We start from the raw sequence: 19,677 nt of genomic DNA, 5'->3' as shown, positions 1-19,677 counted from the left end.
TCTGTGAGGACAACACTTGGCATAGGCAGGCCAGGGCGGAGCTCAGTCCTCACCCCACCTGTCCAGCATGTATGTCTATTGGGCGCTGTCAAACTTGTCCTCCATGACAAGTTCAACTAGTGGAGTACCAGCAGTTTCAGAGCACCATGTTTTTAATGACACCAATCCACTGCTGATGTCACAGCTCACTGTGGAAGGGCGAGTGAGCAATGGCAGACCCCACTCCCCAACCTCCCCCACCAGGCCCACCTTGATTCCCTGATGTGATGCTGTCAATGGAACTCCTTGCCCTTCTTCAGCCAGGAGATGGAGGAAGTGGGATTGCTGGTAGACAGGCGGTGAAAATGAAGAGTTTTGCTGCTTCTTGTCCTCAAGTCCAGCAAGGAGCCCTTCCCAGTGAAGGTGCACATGAAGGCCATAAGGTACATGAAGGCAGGAAGCAGAGGCCCATTTGACCCAATCCATCTTCTGAGGCTGCCCCTGCTAATACCTCAGCCTCTTTTCCCTACTGTGTAGGGAGAGTGTTTCAAGGACCCCTACCTGGGCTGAATGAGGCTCCCAGGGGCCTTGACACCTTGTAAGCCTGCCCCCAACATTCTCAGCACTGAGATGTGTGTCCCCCACCTCTAATTCCCCCAAAAGGCTGCTCCTTCTGAGAGGTCCAGAGTGCTCCCAGCTGGCCTGGGACCCATCAGGAAATAAGGTCATCTCCCAGCAGGGAGCACCTACCACCTAGGCAGTACCCTTCCTTTCTCTTCCCTTCCACCAAGGGGGAAGCCCAGAACCCAGGGGGAAGCCCAGCTGGGTGGAGGAGCCTGGACAGGCCTTGGGAGCAGTTGGCCAATAGAGAGAGCCCAGCTACCTGAAGAATCTGGAGCCTCAGAGCCAGGTGGGCTGCATCAGCCCGCTAGAATTGAGACCCCAGGCCACCTTCTGCATAGCTCCAGGGCCTGACAAGCACCCACTGACGGTGACATCCTGGAGGCCCCACCTCCCCCATTCAGAAGCCCAGGGCTGATGCCACCTTCTCCCTCACAGCTCAACTACTTTGTCACATTCCTTGAGGCTGGGATAAGAGCTGCCTTCCTGCCAGGACTCCTGGGGAACCTGCGCCAGCATCCCCTAGAAGGGATGCACTGGGCCCTTAGAACAGATGAGGAAGTCAGCCCTTCTCCACAGAGACCTCCCTGCTATCCCCTCACAAGGATATGCCCATCTCTCAGAGGAGGACACCGAGGCACATGTGGAAACAGTGTGAACAGATGCTGGAAAAAGCTACCTCCCAGAGCTCTGAGCTGCCCTCCTTGGCCTCCCAGGGTGGAGATTAGAAGACCCTTGGGGTGTTGGAGGCAGCCCAGTAGGCTGTGGCAGAAATGGTTCCCAGGAAAAGAAGATCACAAGGACTCAATGCTGCCCACTGCCAGATGGTGCCTTCTGATGGGCCCTCCAGTGACCCGCAGCCTGAGCCCAGGCAGAGCAGACACCGAACTCCTGCCTGGAATGGCCAAGCAGGCAGGTGCAAGCAGGTACTCGGGGTGAGGGCACAGGAGTGTGTGCTCTGGACCAGGATTCAGGCAGAGGCAGAGCCAGAACATGTTCATCATCTCTGAGCATTCTTTCCTCCCCATATTTGCTTCCACCCTGGGATCTGCTCCCCAGGTCTACCCCTTCTTTGTCTTTCTGGCTGGTTCCTCCCCACCTCCTTGCCCATTCACCCCAGAGGGGCCAAGCCTCAGCCCACACACCACTCTCCCCAAGTTGTAGCTGCCCACCCATGTCCATCCCATCGTGATCTATCTGTATGAGCACATCTTTTGCCTCCTCTAAAACCAGAAGCCCCACCTCTCTGATGGGTCCCTCTATGGCTGGGCAAAGTCCACCTGCCACTGTTCCAGGCCTAAATGCCTGGGCATGGTCCCCGTGACTGCTCTCTCACATGCACAGACCATTCTCAGGGAAATGCCACTGGCACCCCCTTTACAGCCCCCACAGTAACCCTCCCCTCCCACTGGGCTGTGACTGTCACCTCCTCATGCCTTTAACTCCTTAGTCCACTCACCCCATGGTCACTGCCTGAGCCCACATGCCCTGTTGTACTCATACCTGAGGTGGCCCACCTCACCCAGAGCCAATACCAATGTCCCCAATACCAATGGCATGAGGAGGCCAGCCCTGGACTTCTCACCACACCTGGAGCCCCAGAGCCCTGTGTCTCAGTCTCCCCATCTTTAGCACAGGTATCACCTCTCATCTCCAGCCTGCAACCCAGAGCCCAAGGCCAGGCATCCAGAGCCATATGGATGACCCAGCCTCTGCTTCACCCTGAGGGGACCCCAACCCAAGGTATTACCTCAGGAAAGTCATTCTAGAGACCTTGGTTCCTCACCCACTTGTTGAGGAGAGTACTTGGTGGGTGGGAAGCAGGCCATACCCCTGGCCAGCCTTGTGCCTGGAATCTGGTCTCACCTGTGCCTTAGCTTCATCCTTCCATCTTTCTCATTTCCCAGTGATGGAGCATCTGCATTGCAGGAGGGGATGTGAGTGGGTGTGGCCAGCAATGCAGGAGAGGATGTGAGTGGGTGTGGCCTGCAATGGCCCACATCCAGTTGCCAGCTGTTTCTCAGCTGAAAGAAAGGTCTTTTTCTCCTGAGACTCAGCCTCTGACCTGCCCCAGGAGGACCCTAGGTGTCCCTCACAGGTGGGGCAGGGATCTTCATTCAGACAGCACCTCCTGGGGGTGCCCTCCTCTCTACTGACACCATCAAGGCCCTTGGGGCAAAGGGTGAAGCAGCCACACACACCAAGACCCCCAGGCCACATATGGTCCCCTCCGCCACTCAGGAAGCTAAGCAGCCCCCTCCTCCTTCCAGCCTGGCATGGCCCCAGCAGGTGCTTACCTGCTTACACACTCAAGGGGCACAGCATGTGCTGTGTGAGCTGATTGCAGCAGCTGTTGGCCCCAGCATCTTTGGGGAAGATTTTCAGCACCTGCAAATGCTGGAGCCCAACCAGGATGTGGTCCACAACACAAGCCCTGAGCCAATCTTGACTCAGACAGTGGGTCCCGTGGGATCATCTCTGGGCAGGTTACCCCATCAGTTCCATGGTGTTCCTGCTGCCAAATGCGAATTGCTTCTGCAGGCCCTGCTCAGGCTCTGGGACCTCTGTGGGTGAGTCAGATGACCCTAGGCAGGCAACTGAAAATGGGTCTCAGCAGAACTCAACAACCCCACAGAAAGCTTCATGGCACCCCCACTTTCCAGACACACCAGTGGAGACCACAGCAGGCCCTGAGTGGGGAAATATTTGACACAGAGCCTGGAATCTCACCAGACAACCCTCAAAACAGGGGCTGGAAACTGTCCCCATAAAGGCGCAGTGGTCAGTATTTTCAGATTTGCCAACTGGTCTCTGTCTCAAAGACTCAAATCTGCAGTTGAGCATGAGAAACATTTTGCAGACAACTTGTGAATGAATGGGCATGGCTGCACTTCCAAAATACTTACTTATGGACACAAAGGGTTTATTTTATTTTTACTTTTTATTTTTCTATAAGTTATTGGGGTACAGGTGGTATTTGGTTACATGAGTAAGTTTTTTTGGTGGTGATTTGTGAGATTCTGGTGCACCCATCACCAAGTAGTATACACTGCACCATGTTTATGGTCTTTTATTTCTTGCCTCCCTCCCACTCTTACCCCCAAGTCCCCAAAGTCCATTGTATCATTCTTGTGCCCAATTTTAAAGTGTCCTGAAGTATAATTTTCCTCTTGATTCGTTCAACCCTTTGGAAATGTAGAATCCATTCTTTGAGCCGTTTGGGCTCACAGGTGGCCCAAACACAGGTGGAGACAGGTTGTACTTTGCCAATCTCTGGCTGAAATGGAACTCAGGGGAGGGGAGAGGTTTAGCCAAGCCCAGCATCCTCCCAGTGTGGTTTCACCCCAAGAGGAATCGCTGTCAGCACCCACCTCCCCATCCTTCATTTTGGCTTCAGGAATACTTCAGGGGGAGAGCAAGGGAGCAGAACAGACCTCAGCTACAAGAAGGAAGAAGATGCAGGTTCAGGCAGTCATGTGGATGGATCTCACTCAACAGTGTCCAGCAGCCACCTGTGTGCCTCTGCCCCTGGGGATGTGCTCCCACCCCAGCTTCTCTGCCCTCAGGTAGAAGCAGCCAGGGTCTTCACCTGCTCTGTTGCTCCAGCTCTGCTGTGCTCCCCTGGTTATTCTAACAGCTTCCTCCCAACAGCCTGCATTATCCTCTGTGAGACAGAGATCCCAGTCCCTCTGCAGGCAGAAGCCCACCACCAGTCTGCCCTGTGGGCCCACCTGGGCCTCCTCACCCCACTGGCCTTTGAGACCCAACTAGCAAGACCTGGTGTCCTATTTGTACTTTGCTCTTTTCTTCAGTGTGTTTCTTCTGTAACCAACTGCTGTGTGGAATTTCCATCTAAGATGCAGGGTGCAGAGCCTTGCCCATACCGGAAAGCCCCACCCCAGGCACTGCCAGGTCTGGTCAATCCTGTGCTCAGCTTAATGGAAAGGCTCCTGGAGCATGCACTGCTGAGTGAGCTCCATCTACATGCCTGCCTGGCCCTGTAACTCCTTTCTTCTTGTTGCTAAGGCCTGTTCTGATCCCTCACTCTCCACCTGAACTGCTCCTGAAGCCAAGATGAAGGATGGGAAATGGGGTGCTGAGAGGGACCCCTCCTGGGTAAATCTCTGCTGTGAGGAGGTTAGGTTTGCCCCACCCCATCTTTCCCTGCTCTGAGCTCCATTTTTGCCAAAGGTCAGAAAAATGCAACCTGTCCCCACCTGCTCTTTTATGGCCCATGAGCCAAGAATGAATTTTACATTTCCAAATGTTCAAACAAATCAAAAGAAGAATCATACTTCACGACCTTTGAAATCAACATTTTTCATGTCCATCAGTGAAGTTTTATGGGCGTGCAGCCATGTCCGTTCATTCTCAGGCTATCTGTGAGATTCTGTCATGCTATAGTGACAGAGTTGAGCCCCTAGAACAGAGGTAGGTTGGCAAAATGAAAAATGTTGAACTCTGACCCTGATTTGGGGGTTGTGTGGTGGAAACCTAGGCTCTTGGTCACATCCTTCTTCTCTCAGGGTCTGCTGTGGCCTTTGCTGGTGTGTGTGTAATGTGGGAATGCCCACTGTGCCTCCCATGGGTGGGGGGGTCAAGGGCTGGTGTGCCAGGTTTCGGGGTACCTTCCTCATGTGTCGTATCTCACCCAAAGAGGTCCCAAGCCTGGTCGAAACCAGTAGGAACAGCTGGTCTTTCACTGCAGGGACAACATGGAGCTCAGCTGCCTCCCATCTGGAGGTAGTTTTGTGAGGCCCACTGTCTGGGTCAAGGATGGCTCAGGGGTGGTGTACTAAACTGCAGGCTGGAAGGGCCCCAGCTACTGCAGTGCTGATCACCATCCCTGAGGGTGCCAGGGCCAACAGCTGTTGGCAGCTGCTCGCCCACTTACACTGTGCCCCTTCAGTGTGTGCGTGACAGGTGTTTGCCTACCAAGGCCACTAAGTTCCCTGAGTGGGTACATGGCCCAGGGGTGGCTAGGGGGTCTCAGGAGGTATGGCTGCAGCATCCCTGCCCTAGGGTATTGCTGTTTGTTGGTAGAGATAAGAGCATCCCCGGGAAGTGCTGTGTGAATGAGGGGCCCCAGCCCAGCCCATGAGAGGCACCTGGGGTTCTCTGGGGGCAGGTCAGGGTCTGAGCCCTGGGAGGGAAAGATGCACATTCCAGCTGAGAAGCAGCAGGCTCTTAGATATGGGCCATCATGGGGCCACTGCCCACCCCCCACCCTCTCCTGCATTGTAGGTGCTGCATCCTTGGGAGGTGAGAAAGATTGAAGAATGAGGCTGAAGACTCAGGTGAGATCAGCTTCCAGCACACAGGCTAGACAGGGATGGGCCTGCTTTTCACCACCAAGCTCTGTCCTCAACAGGCAGGGGAGGGACAAATGCCTGGTGGACAATCTCCTTCAGGTCACACCAAAAGCCCGGGTCCCAACAGGATGGAATAGAGGCCAGGCTATCAAAATGATTCTAGATTCCTGGCCTGGGCTCTGGGTGGCAGGCTGGGGGTGATGGAGGGGCACCCATACTGCAGGTGGAGAGACTGAGGCCCAGGACTATGGGGGATCCAGGAGCAGTGAGGAGGCCAGGGCTGGACTCTGGGAACTTTGGTGCTAGCCCTTGGAGAGGTGGGCTACTGTAGATGTGAGGATAGCAGGGCATGTGGCTCAGGTGGCTGCCAGGGAACAAGTGGTTCCAGGGTTGAGGGCACCCAGAGGTGAATGCTCTGGCCCAGTGGGAGCAGAGGGCAGCTGTAAAAGCAATGTCTACAGCATTTCCTGCAGAGGGACTGTGGGTTTGAGAGAGCTGTCAGTGGGACAATGTTGGGGTGTTTTGGCCTCCAGCAGTGGCAGGTGGATGTTGCCCAGCTGTGGAGGGCTGGTCAGAGAGATGGGACTTCTAGTTTTGGAGGACCAAGAGACAGATGTGCTTGTGCAGACAAAGGTCTTTGTGGAATGAATATGGGGAAATTTACAACTTAGGGACTGATGCTATGTGGGCTGAGGCCCTGAGCCCACACAGGAGAGCAGGAAAGGAGGTGAGGAGGACTCAGCTAGGGGGATGGACATGGGGGACACCAGGGCAGCAGGTCCCAGGAGAGGAGCATACCCGGGAGGGAATCAGAATTTTTGGCCTCAACTGAGCCCTCAAACCCTGCCTGGACCACACTCTCCAGTGACCTCACCCTGAGTTTCTGCTTGCCCCTGCCCACCTGGCCATCCTAGGCAGGTGTTAGGTGTTTCTCGCATTGTGGACTTGAGTTTGAGGGTTACCAGTCTGCATTTCAGAAGGCACCATCTGGCAGTGGGCAGCATCGAAACACTGTGGTCTCCTTGTCTCAGAAAACAACCCTTTCCACAGCCTGACAGGTTGTCTCTATCACCCAGGGGTCTCTGTCTCCCACCCCAGGATGCTCAGGAGGGCAGCCCAGAGCCCTGGGAGCTGGCTCTTCTCAGTGTTTGCCACACTGCTCTCACCTGTGCCTCAGTGTCCTCCTCCATGTGACGGTCATGTCCCTGTGGGTGGATGGCAGTGAGGCCAACTTGGAGAGGGGAATGCCTCCCTTTTCTTTCCTGGGCTTCTGGCGCCTCCCTCCTGGGGGATGATACGCCAGCCTCCCCAGGAGTCCCAGCAGGAAGGCAGACCCCAAGAAGGAACATGAGTTGAGCTGTGAGGAAGTGGTTACTGGCAGCCCTGGACACCAGGAGGGGAAGAGGTGGGGCCTCAAGGATGCCATCCTCATTCACCTGGTGCCTGCCAGGCCCTGGAGCTCTTCGGAGAGTGGGGTAGGGTCTCAGATCCTAGTGGGCTGATACCTCTTGGCTGCCTCTGAGGCTCCCAGCTCTGCAGGCAGCTGGCTTTCCCCTCCTAGCAAACTGCTTCCAAGGCCTGTCCTGCCTCATCCATTCAGCTGAGCTTACCACTGGGTCCTGGGCCTGCCCCAGTGTATTTTCCTGGGTGGGACGGAGCTCCCTAGGGAGATACCTCTATGTCCAGAAGCTTCCCAGGCCAGGAGGGAGCACATTGACCCTCTTAGCAGGAGCAACCACTTGGGGGAAGCAGGTTGGGAGAGGTGAGGATACATGGTCTAGCTTTGAGAATGCTCAGAATTGGGGAAGGGCCATGCTGCAAAAAGCTAAATATAAACCAGATGTCCCCCAACAGGTGGATCAATAAACTGTGATGTAGCCACAGAATCGAATCCTACTTTTCAACAAAATGGAACTATTGCTTCACACCACAAAACTGATGAATCTTAAGTTTATTTCTATAAACGAAGGAAGTCAGATCCAAAAGGCTACATATTATATGTTTCTATATATGTATATGATATTGTAGAAAAAGAAAATTATAAAGATCAAAAGCGATTAGTGGATGCCAAAGAATGGGATGAGGGGAGGTGTTGGCTAAGAAGGGGCAGCATGAGAGAATCGGGGGATAATGAAACAGTTCTGTGTGGTACTGTGAAGGCGGATGTTACTCTAAACAGTTGACAAATCACATTGAACTGTAGACCACAAAGAGTAAATGTCCTTGATGCAAATTGAAAAAAATAACCAGAAAGTTGGGACATTTAGATGAAATGCAGTAGGTGATAAATGAGTTTAACCGTACTACAAATGTATGGCCTAAACCTATTGAAGATGGTGGGGATGAAAATTCTTGACCTGAGTCACTTTGGAAAACAGTGTTTTGATTGAATGCTGTAATTCTCAAAAGCTGTACACCAACACTGTATTCTAGTTGGGTTTTTTTTTCCTGTAAAGCTATGAATTAGCAATTTTGAAACTGCTTTACATATTAGTGTATATATTTATATATGATTGATTATTAGTGCCTGTTCCTCACTCTAGTTGAAAAAAGTTGAAAATAAAAAGGGTATACTATAATGAACCCTGTCATGCTGATCTGGAGCTGGAAATATCAGAATAAACATTTCTATTGCAATATATCCATCCAGAGAGAGAGAGAGAGAAGGAGATATGTGTGCACACCTTAGTTTATGTTTATACATACGTTTCCAAACCCTGTCTGCTAATAGGGCCCAGAAGCAGTGACATTTCAGTATCAATGAGCACACCTAACTTTCGGATCTTGATTTCTAAATACTGTTCTTCAGTAAAAAGAACCAGGGCTACTTGTAACAGTGGATAATTCTAGGGCAGGAGATAGAAAATACAAGTTGAGCCTAGAGTATCTTATACAGCCAGAAACTCAAAAAGTGCTTTAAAAACATACAAGAGAGCATGTCAAAAGGAGCGACCCTGTAAGACCTCCCAATGGCCCAAGGTGGAACAATGTGAGCAGCAAAATAAACAATGATAGCATTAAATTATAACCAAAGAATAAAATACATATCCACACATCCATACCAATATAGAAAAGATGAAATAAATAAGGAAAGAAGGAAGAAATGAGGGAATGAGGAGGGGAGGAAGAAAGAAAATCTTTACAGAATTCCAAGTACTGTATCTACCAATGTAGATGAATACTTCAAAACAGAAAATCACTCCTAGAACACCCCAGTAATAACGACTGTAGGCAAAAGTTGCTAACGAGTTTTTAAATTGTGGATAAAATTTAAAGGAGAAAAAATGTATTTTCATAGCCCCAAAGTGTTGGCTTCCAAATATTTTTAAAATATTATTTTCTCTTAATTTTTTAAAAGACCTATAATTACTTAAGGCAAAAAATTAACAGTGTATTATGAGATTTGTAGTGTTTCAATGTAAAATTTACAAGAGCAGCACAAAGGATAGAAGGAGGAAAATGGAACTGTTATGTAGGAAAGTCTTTATATTTTACATGTATTAAAATGTATTAATTCTAAGTAGATTGTGATATGTCAAAAATACATATTGTAATCTCTGGACCAATCACTAAAAAAATGCAAAGCGGTGTCACTTAAATGCTGATACAGAAATTAAATTACATATAAAAAGTATTGTACAAGAATGTGTATAGACCTTTTAGTCATAATAACCCAAAGCAGAAAGTAACCTAAATGTTTTTCAACAGAAAATGGATGAGCAAAGTGTAGAGCATTCATACAACCAAGTACTACTCATCAATACAAAGGAGCAAACTACTGAAGCACACAGCCTGGATGATTCTCATGAACCTGCTAAGTGAGACAAGCTGCACATAAATAATACATATTGTATAATTTCAGACAAAATGAACCTATAATTTAAAAAAAATCAACAAAGAAATAAACTCTGGGGGCAAAAAAAAAAATTGCCCAGAGAGGAGCATGAGAGAATTTTTTGGAGATGGTAAAAATTCTATTCTTAAAAGTTATGAATGTTATATTGTATATTTGTCTGTCAAAGTCATACATTTAAGATTCATGCCTTTCAATGTACATATGACCTCACAAAGAAAAATAGAAAAATAATAAAGTAGGGGTGAGCTAGGTTGAAGTATAGATAAAACAAAATGGCACATGATTAGTAGTTGTTGAGGTTGGGTGATGGGTCTGTTATACGATTTTGTATCTGTTGTACATGTTTAAAATTTTCTGTAATAAAATATTTTGTATAAAAATACAAAGTTACTGTACAATGTAGGCTATTAAAAGCTTAGCTGCCATTGGAGGGAGGGAGGGAGGAAAAGAGTAATTGCCAGGGCATGAGTGATGCTGGTTCTCTTTCTTGGCTACACAAGTGTATTTGCTCTGCAATAATTCATCAAGCTTTGCATGAATACTTTGTGAATGTATTTTTGTATGCCTGTCGTACATCACAAAGTGATGAAAATATTACATATTTTCACATAAAATCCAACCCAAAATCTCAGAATAACAACAGTATTTTGTTTTGGTTAAAGCAGACATGTTCTCTCATGACATTATTAGATGAGTTTGAATATTCAGAAGTCTATTCATGCCCTAATTATCAAGTGAAACAAGGTCTTTTTATTTTTACCTAAATTTGAAAAGTGGCATAGTGTTAATTTTTTTAATGCAACACTTTTTTCCAGGAAATTTCTCTCCTCACAGTGATGCTTACTGAGGCCAGCGCATCTAGGCCCTGCATATATGTGCTGAGTACATGCAGAACTGGGTTATGTTAGGAACAAAATGAGTCATAGATAGTGGTTATGGATAACAGCCAGTTGCGGCAGAAGTATATGCAAATGTACTTGATCTTTCTTTAATGAGAGGTGCTCTTTGTTGTTTCAGGTGATGATCTGGTTTGTGAAAAGTTCAGTGCCTTTATTTCCCCATTCATCCAGGAGGGGACAAAGCTGGGCAGAGCTGAACCACCAAGTTCATCTATGAATACCCCAATGACGAGCACAGACACTAGCCCTGTTGGGGATGGCTGAGAGAGTTCCTGGTGAGGCTGCAGAGGGGAATGGAGATATATCAGCTACACATCTTAAACCAAGCTTGTCCAGCCCGTGGCCCACAAGGTGCATGTGGCCCAGTATGGCTTTGAATGTGTCCCAAAACAAATTCATAAACTTTCTTAAAACATTACGTAATTTTTTCTGCGTTTTTTTTTTTTAGCTCATCAGCTGTTGCTAGTGTATTTTATGTGTGGTCCAAGGCAATTCTTTCAACCTGGCCCAGGGAAACCAAAAGACTGGTCACCCTGTACAGAAAAAAAAAAAATGTGATCTGCTTCCTTATCAAACTTCTGTTCTAGGGCTCAAGACTCTCCGTTCAGACAGACGCTGTCATCTTTCTCCAGACCACAGTGTACCCGAGAGCCACAGAAAACTTCTGTTCCACTCTTCTCCATAGGAGCGGCTATGGGGCAGAACCTATTAACTCAGCCCAATACAGACATTTTTGTGGTTCACCTGATCTTCCAGGCAGGGATGTTGCTGCTTTCTTTAGAGAGGCCAGGCTTTGCCTTTTGCCACATATAGGTGAGTGCCGTCTGTGGTGGTGTCAGTTGGTAGGGTCAGCCTAGCCACAGACCCTGAGGTGAGTGATAAGGTGCCAGGAGTGGTGGACTGGGCTAGGCAGTCTCCCAATCTTCAGGCTTCTCGATGGTCCTCTATACAGCATGAATGAGTCCTGGAGGTCCTTGACCTGAACTGGGCCAGTGAACTTGTCCTCAGGTCTTCAGGGTGCAGGTGTTGACTGTGACATGTAGGAGCAGGCTGGTCCCTAGGTCACCAGCTTAACTCTCAGGCAGGGCCAAGCAGAGCACTCAGATGGTGGGAGCTCAAGGACAGATCATAGGCCTGTGAGGGCTGGTCTCGCAGCAAGGCCCCAGGCCACGGCTAAAATCATCACATGGAAGGAGGGCAGCTGTGCTGCTGGCCTGTTCCAGGGAAGGCAGGGCTCCCTCAGGGGGAGCAGTGGAGGCAGGCAGATGCCGGGCACATTGTCCACCCACGTTTTTCTCCCACAGGAGCAGCAGCAATATCCTTCATTGGGGTGTGTGGCAGTGCCTGGTCACCCATTGCCTGCCTGGCCCAGCAGTGGCCGTGGCAGTGGCAGCAGTGGTGATGACAGTGGGGGCCCCAGGACAGAATGCAGACCTACGCAAGGCTGTAATCTCAGAAGAACACTGGGCAGCAGCCAAAATTCCAGGGTGCAGGCAGAGCAGCTGTGCTCCAGGGCTGTCACTGGTGAGCCTTGCCCCACTCCCTTGGTGGGTGCAGTGAAGAGTGACAGCTGTGGGCATGTGGCCCACTCGAACATCTCCCCTGCAGAGCCAGCCATGGATTTCACTGCTAGGTGCACAGAGGTGCCCAGGCTCCATGCTTCCTTGCAAGCCTGGTGGCAGCAGTGGTAGATAATATCTATAATTCAGATAGTTTTGTGGTAGAAAAAAAAAAACTGACCTGTTTATTAGCAATTACTCTAATACAATTAAACACAATGTTCCTTATGGCCATCTGCTAAAATATCATTATTGTAAAATATTTTAAAATTTTGTTTTATCACGTAATTGTTCAAACAGTTCTTAAGTATTAGAGATATATTAAAATATCTTCAAATTTAAAAAAATAAAAATATGGCCGGGCGCAGTGGCTCACGCCTGTAACGCCAGCACTTTAGGAGACCAAGGCGGGCGGATCATGAGGTTAGGAGTTCAAGACCATCTGGCCAACATAGTGAAACCCCGTCTCTACTAAAAATACAAAAAATTAGCCGGGTATGGTGGCTAATATCCCCATATCCGCTACAGTGGACCAAGCTAAAATTATCATTCAATTCTTACCCTTATCATGTCATATGTATTACATGTAGAGATGTTTGTATATTACTACATATAATATTTTATCAAGAATTTATTATGTTTTTCTGTGAGTGTATTAGTTCCACCAGTTATTCCACCCTTACTTGAAGACAGAAACTGAATGTTGTTCGCTTTTTGAAGTTTTAATAAATGGGATTAGATAGTATGCATATTTTTAATCTGGTTGAATTTATGCAACATTATATTTGTGATGTTTATCCATCTCATTACATGTACATATAATTTGTTCATTATTCAGCAATAATACATTTGGTAATATGATATAAAAATAAAAATGTCTGAAGCTATAGTTATTCTTTAACTTTTTTTTTTTTTTTTTTTTTTTTTGATGAGTACTGAGACCAGACAATGCACCTGAGCAATGTTACTGAAGAAAATGAGCTCACTCATTACCAAGTTTAGGACCCAGCTGCTGCTACTCTACTTTTCCAGGAATTAGGTAAGTTCAGATTTTGCTTTGGTGACTCTCATTTCTACCAATCCCAGAGCCTAGTGTCTTACTTCTACAGGTGACATGACAGTAATAAATCCAGAGGGAAATGAAATGATAGCATTTATTCTTTATACCCATGTCTCAGGGACAAAAATTCATATACACAGAATGACTCCAAGACAAACCTTGGTATCTGTTTCTTAGCTTCATTACTGATGAGTACTCAAGTCTCAGGTGGAAAGTTGGAGGAGGCAGAATTTTATCAATGAGGTCTATAATTTTTGCATGATTTTGCTCTTGTGTCTCACTGAATTATAACTAACTGGTAGGTGTTTCTACATACCATATATTATGAACACATAAACATATTTGTAAGAAAATGTGTGATTTTTTAAATGTTATACTCTAATTGCAGTTTTACTCGACTATTTCTCATTTTACAACAAATTGTTCACTTATGACATTTTTTATCTTGACACTAAATATGAACTAATTTATAATGATTTAATCATATTTTAATTTTAATTTAATTTAATTTAATTTTTATTTGTTTGAGACAAAGTCTCCCACTGTCACCTGGGCCGGAGTGCAAATGGCACAATCTCAGCTCACTGTAACCTCTGCCTCCCAGGTTCAAGAGATTCTCCTGCCTCAGCCTCCCCAGTAGCTGGGACTACAGGCACCTGCCACCACACCCAGCCAATTTTTTGTATTTTTAGTAGAGACGGGGTTTCGCTATGTTGGTCAGACTGGTCTCAAACTCCTAACAACAGGATTAGGTTTATTCTGCCTTGGCAGGGTGGTCCTGAGAGTCGTAGGTGCCACCCTGTCCTGGACTAAGGGAGGCCCAGAGGGCCAGTTAAGGCCAATGGTAGGCGAAGGTGGGGGTGCAGCCCCTTGAATGAGGTGAAAACAGGCCAAGGCCAGGAGGCAGCTGTGGTAGGCTGGGGCAGGGTGGAAGGCACTGGACTGGGACCTAGTCAGACCTACAAAGCCAAGGACCCAGGCCACATGAGTACCCCCGGCAGGCGAGGCACAGTGTCAGATGACACAGAACATGAAACACAGGCCCAGGCTCACAGTAAGCACATGGACAAGTGGGCGCAGATTCACAGGCCAGATGAACAGCCAGCCATGGCTGGGCCAGACCTGTGGACACAGTGGTGGCTTCACACACAGACCACAGGGAAGACATGGCTCTATGTGACACAGTGACTTGACGCCACAATGCACAGAGCAGGCCGCAGAGCTCAAGGGATGTGGGAAGGGGCCTTTTGGCCCTTCTGCCCTGGAATCCTGTGAGACAGGGGTGGCAGCCACTCTGCAGGTGCCTGGAGTGTCCCCTCGCAGCCCCTCTGGGCTTAGTCCTTCTTCCACACTTTGTTGAGCAGCTTCACCACCTCATTGTAGATGATAAATGTTATGGCCACATCCAGGCAGACTCCGTCAGTGACTGGCATGGGACAGTGCCCTTGTGAAGGCCTTGAGCCCCTCGGGATCCCGTCCAGAGGGGTGTTTCCGAAGACGCTGGCTGTGCCTGCAATGGCTCAGAAGACCCCAGTGATCAGCGGGTTCATGGGCTTATCTGTTTGGTACCAGTTGCTGCAGGGAGGTCAGGACAAAGAAACAATGGCCTGGTTCCAGCCCTGCTTCAGCCCGGCGGCCCTGAGGCCCTGGTAAGTCCCCTCAGCCCTTGTTCCCGCATAATCTCCCTAACCCCGAAGAATTATCTGTTCTTGGGTTTGGGGAGGTCTGGTAGTGGATGAACTTCACTTTGATGGTCTCCATGGGACGTACGACCACCATGGCCTCGGCCATGCCGGTGTCTAGACCTCACAGCAGCCCGCGCCTGCTGTTCAGCAGTCCCTGGGCATTCCACATCTGGGTGCAGAGGAACTCCAACTTCCCGAACCTGACTCTGCCTCGGGGATGGAGCCGCAGAGCAGGAAGCTGAGGCCGCGGTTCAGGCCCAGGACGCCGTGGCTGTGACTGTGCCCCACAGGCCCCCATGCCGGGTGCCCGGCGGGGGCGAGCGCTCGTTGGTCCTCACGTGCTCGGTGGGAAACGGAATACAGGTGTGGATGCTGCCGTCCAGGCCACCTGCCGTGATCGCCTTCCCCGGGAGAGTCCCCTCGGCCTTCCAGAACGCTGCGCTGCCATGGTGGGCGGGAGGGGTGACGCCCGGCATCGCCTTGGTCTGAGCCTCCTGAACTCCCCGCTCTGACCTTAATTTGGTTTTGACACAAATAAAGATCTCACATAAACATAAAATGGGATGTCTTGGCTTGTAATTTTTATTGAAAGCAATAGTATTGTTGTATAGGATAGTGTATTGGGGTAAATAGGTTTTTTATTTTTATTGTTTTCATCAGCTCACTGACATTGATCGAGGGCAGTTTTTAGGTTATTGATGAGCAGTTTTCCCTTAGGTATGCCTTAAGGTAGGGGTTTCTGGTAATGTTTGAGAGGTAGGCTGGGATTAGAGTTTGTTATGGCAGCAATATCCTTCTGAGAACCAGGGAATTCAAATCCTTCTCATGATACTTTGCTAATATCGCCCAGGTTTACTGTGCCTTTCCTTTGTGCAGCTTACCAGAGATGGTCTCTTGCACTTGGCCCAGCTATAATATGTTCCACTGTTCTTTTTATTCCGTGCTTCTTAGCCTGGTGGCAGGGGTGAGGGAATGAGGAGATATCTGATGTTCTGAGGAAGCCTCACACTCAGCACTGTGAACTGGGGTGTGGGGTTACCGACCTTCAAAGTTTCCTGCCCCTCCTGTAGATGCAATGCCAGAACAAGAGTACATTCCTGTCCCTCCCCCAGTGGTAGAGAGGCTCCTTGTCCACGTTCCTAGCTTCTAGTTGAAGTGTGAGTGGGTCTGCAACAGTGCCCTGTAAACTAATGCTTTAGTTTCTTTATGGGAGATGTATCTGGGCAGAGATGTGGGTGTTGACCTTGTTTCTCCACCATCAGCTGCAGTGAGTTTTTTCACAGTTCCCTCTGGTTCAAGTTTGGATGCTCTTTCCCCGGCCTTGTGTTCTATAGCAGAGATGGGAAAGCTATGTCTCCAGAGTTGTAGCAGTGGGTGGGATAGTGGTCCCTCCCTATCAGCACCATGGGGGAAGCATTCTCAGGATTATACCCCACCCTCCCTGACAGGCCTTGTAGGGTTCCTAGAAAAATCATACACAAAGGTGTAAACTCTATGTCTGTAGACTCCAGGATTTCTCATTCCCCTTCACCCACCCACCCACCCACCCACACACAGCCACCAGGAACTAGTTCAAAAGTCCTGCTTTAATTTTGCTAGTTTCCATGGTCTTCCAGGTATACATAAAAGCCTGGGGCCTGTGTGACCTGCAGGCTCCTGCATGCCTTGATGTTGGGTTTGTTGTCTCCTCTGTGACCTCAATTCTCCAAAGGGCTCGGAACAAGCCATTCATTCATTTGCATTTTCTCCAGCTTTTTTGTTTGTTTAATGTAGGAGCAACTCTTTGTCAGGTCTCTACAGCTATAAACTTAACTCAGAGACTAATATTTCTAAATACATTTATTTCCTATCATACTTTCAGTGTTGCTCTACCTAACCTAATTGTTCTTCAGTATTTTTCTTATTTGTATGTCTTTATTTTAAAACCAGGTTTAATTCCTTCTTAAACTAATTTGTAACTTTTCTATTTTCTTCCATTTCATTTATTTCCCTCTGTGACTTTGATTCTTTTCAGACATTTAAAGCATTGATGCATAATTCCAGTGTAGGAAGTCAGATTATACACTGACATTTCTCCTTGACCACTGGTTATAACACTTCAGCCCTGATGACAGTTATACCTGAAGCCACATCCACTCTTGACATGTATTTATTTTACTATTCAATAAAAATTAAGTCATCATGAACTGTATTTTATTAATATTTGTAGGCTTTATGGACCTGAAAATACAACAAATAAAAACCAAATTACATGACACCAGGGGTTAAAATTTTTTTGGTTGATTAAAACATTTTTGTCTTTCTGTGATTTGAGTGATCTTTGTAATAGGAACCAGAGTTGAAACTAAAGTAAGTAGGTGTTGGTGAGATTTGATGGCTAAGAACATGGAGCTCATTTTGTAATTGAAAGGGAAATAAGAACACGTGTCACCAGTTCCATATGATCACAATGCATGTGGAATAATCAAAATGGCAACAAGCGACTTATATTTTGAGAGAGAAGAATTGGAACTAAAATGACCAAGTATAAAGCTGAGCCAAGGGCCGGCACAGTGGTTCATGCCTGTAATCTCAGCACGTTGGGAGGCCGAGACAGGCAGATCACCTGAGGTCAGGCAAGACCAGCGTAGCCAATATGGTGAAACCCAATCTCTACTAAAAATACAAAAAATTAGCCAGGCATGGTGGTGGGCGCCTGTAATCCCAGCTACTTGAGAGGCTGAGGCGGGAGAATCGCTTGAATCTGGGAGGCGGAGGTTGCAGTGAACCAAGATTGTGCCACTGCACTCCAGCCTGGGAGACAGGGTGAGACTCAGTCTCAAAAGATAAATGAATGAAGGAATGAATGAATGAATGAATGAATAAAGCTGACCCAGTCTGACTTGGATCTTTGTCTTTAACATATATCTGCAATACTCATGTAGGCAGTGTATAAATAACTTGTCAGCAATATTATTAATGCCCAGGTTCTTGAATTTTCAGGGTTTGGTTTCTCCAGTAGTGAGTGTGTTACTGAGCAAAAGGGGCTTGCAATGCACTAAAGTCAATACTATGACATTAAATTTTTCTTTTATTATTATTATTATTATTATTATACTTCAAGTTTTAGGGTACATGTGCATAACGTGCAGGTTTGTTACATATGTATACATGTGCCATGTTGGTGTGCTGCACCCATTAACGCGTCATTTAGCATTAGGTATATCTCCTAATGCTATCCCTCCCCTCTCCCCCCTCCCCCCACCCCACAACAGTCTCCGGTGTGTGATGTTCCCCTTCCTGTGTCCATGTGTTCTCATTGTTCAATTCCCACCTATGAGTCAGAACATGCGGGCGGGCCGCGCGGTGGGCGCGGAGAGGAGCGGAGCGGCGCGGCAGGCCGGGCGGGTTGCGGCAGTAGCGGAGGAGGCCGCAGCTGCGAGTCCCAGGAGCGGAGGCGACGCGGGCGGCGGCTGGGGGCCGGGTGGCCGGGGTCCCGGGCCCCGCGGCGGCAGCGGTAGGATGATCAAGCTGTTCTCGCTGAAGCAGCAGAAGAAGGAGGAGTAGTCGGCGGGAGGCACCAAGCGCAGCAGCAAGAAGGCGTCGGCGGCGCAGCTGCGGATCCAGAAGGACATAAACGAGCTGAACCTGCCCAAGACGTGTGATATCAGCTTCTCAGATCCAGACGACCTCCTCAACTTCAAGTTGGTCATCTGTCCTGATGAGGGCTTCTACAAGAGTGGGAAGTTTGTGTTCAGTTTTAAGGTGGGCCAGGGTTACCCGCATGATCCCCCCAAGGTGAAGTGTGAGACAATGGTCTATCACCCCAACATTGAAATCGAGGGCAACGTCTGCCTCAACATCCTCAGAGAGAACTGGAAGCCAGTCCTTACGATAAACTCCATAATTTATGGCCTGCAGTATCTCTACTTGGAGCCCAACCCCGAGGACCCACTGAACAAGAAGGCCGCAGAGGTCCTGCAGAACAACCGGCAGCTGTTGGAGCAGAACGTGCAGCCATCCATGCGGGATGGCTACATAGGCTCCACCTACTTCGAGCGCTGCCTGAAATAGGGTTGGCGCATACCCACCCCCGCCACGGCCGCAAGCCCTGGCATCCCCTGCAAATATTTATTGGGGGCCATCGGTAGGGGTTTGGGGGGCGGCCGGTGGGGGAATCCCCTGCCTTGGCCTTGCCTCCCCTTCCTGCCACGTGCCCCTAGTTATTTTTTATTAACACCATGTGATTAAGGTCAGCGCTGCCTCCCCCGACCCACTCAGCGATGGGAAATGAATTGGCTGTTCTAGCCCCCCTGCTGGGTGCTTGTTCAGCCAAAGGGCCTGGGTAGCTGGGCCCAGACAAACCACCCCTCCACCTCTGGAGGTCCCACCAGGCTATTAAAGGGGAATGTTACTGCAAAAAAAAAAAAAAAAATGCGGTGTTTGGTTTTTTGTCCTTGTGATAGTTTGCTGGGAATGACGGTTTCCAGTTTCATCCATGTCCCTACAAAGGACATGAACTCATCATTTTTTATGGCTGCATAGTATTCCATGGTGTATATGTGCCACATTTTCTTAATCCAGTCTATCATTGTTGGACATTTGGGTTGGGTCCAAGTCTTTGCTATTGTGAATAGTGCCGCTATAAATATACGTGTGTAGGTGTCTTTACAGCAGCATGATTTATAATCCTTTGGGTATATACCCAGTAATGGGATGGCTGGGTC

General features: G+C 48.4%; 2 pseudogenes across 1 annotated transcript; one reads left to right on the top strand and one right to left on the bottom strand.

Moving 5' to 3' along the window:
* Positions 14,624–15,158, bottom strand: SLC25A1P4 (solute carrier family 25 member 1 pseudogene 4; annotated as a pseudogene).
* UBE2MP1 (ubiquitin conjugating enzyme E2 M pseudogene 1) lies at positions 18,324–19,284 on the top strand (annotated as a pseudogene). The gene has a single exon (NR_002837.1). The product of NR_002837.1 is annotated as a ubiquitin conjugating enzyme E2 M pseudogene 1 (transcript).
* Positions 19,285–19,677: the final 393 nt, after the last annotated feature.

The sequence above is a fragment of the Homo sapiens genome, chromosome 16 (genome assembly GCF_000001405.40).
Source record: "Homo sapiens chromosome 16, GRCh38.p14 Primary Assembly".
NCBI classification, from domain to species: Eukaryota; Metazoa; Chordata; class Mammalia; order Primates; family Hominidae; genus Homo; species Homo sapiens.
Note: the sequence above shows the minus strand (reverse complement) of the source record. Positions and strands in the feature narration are given on the sequence as shown.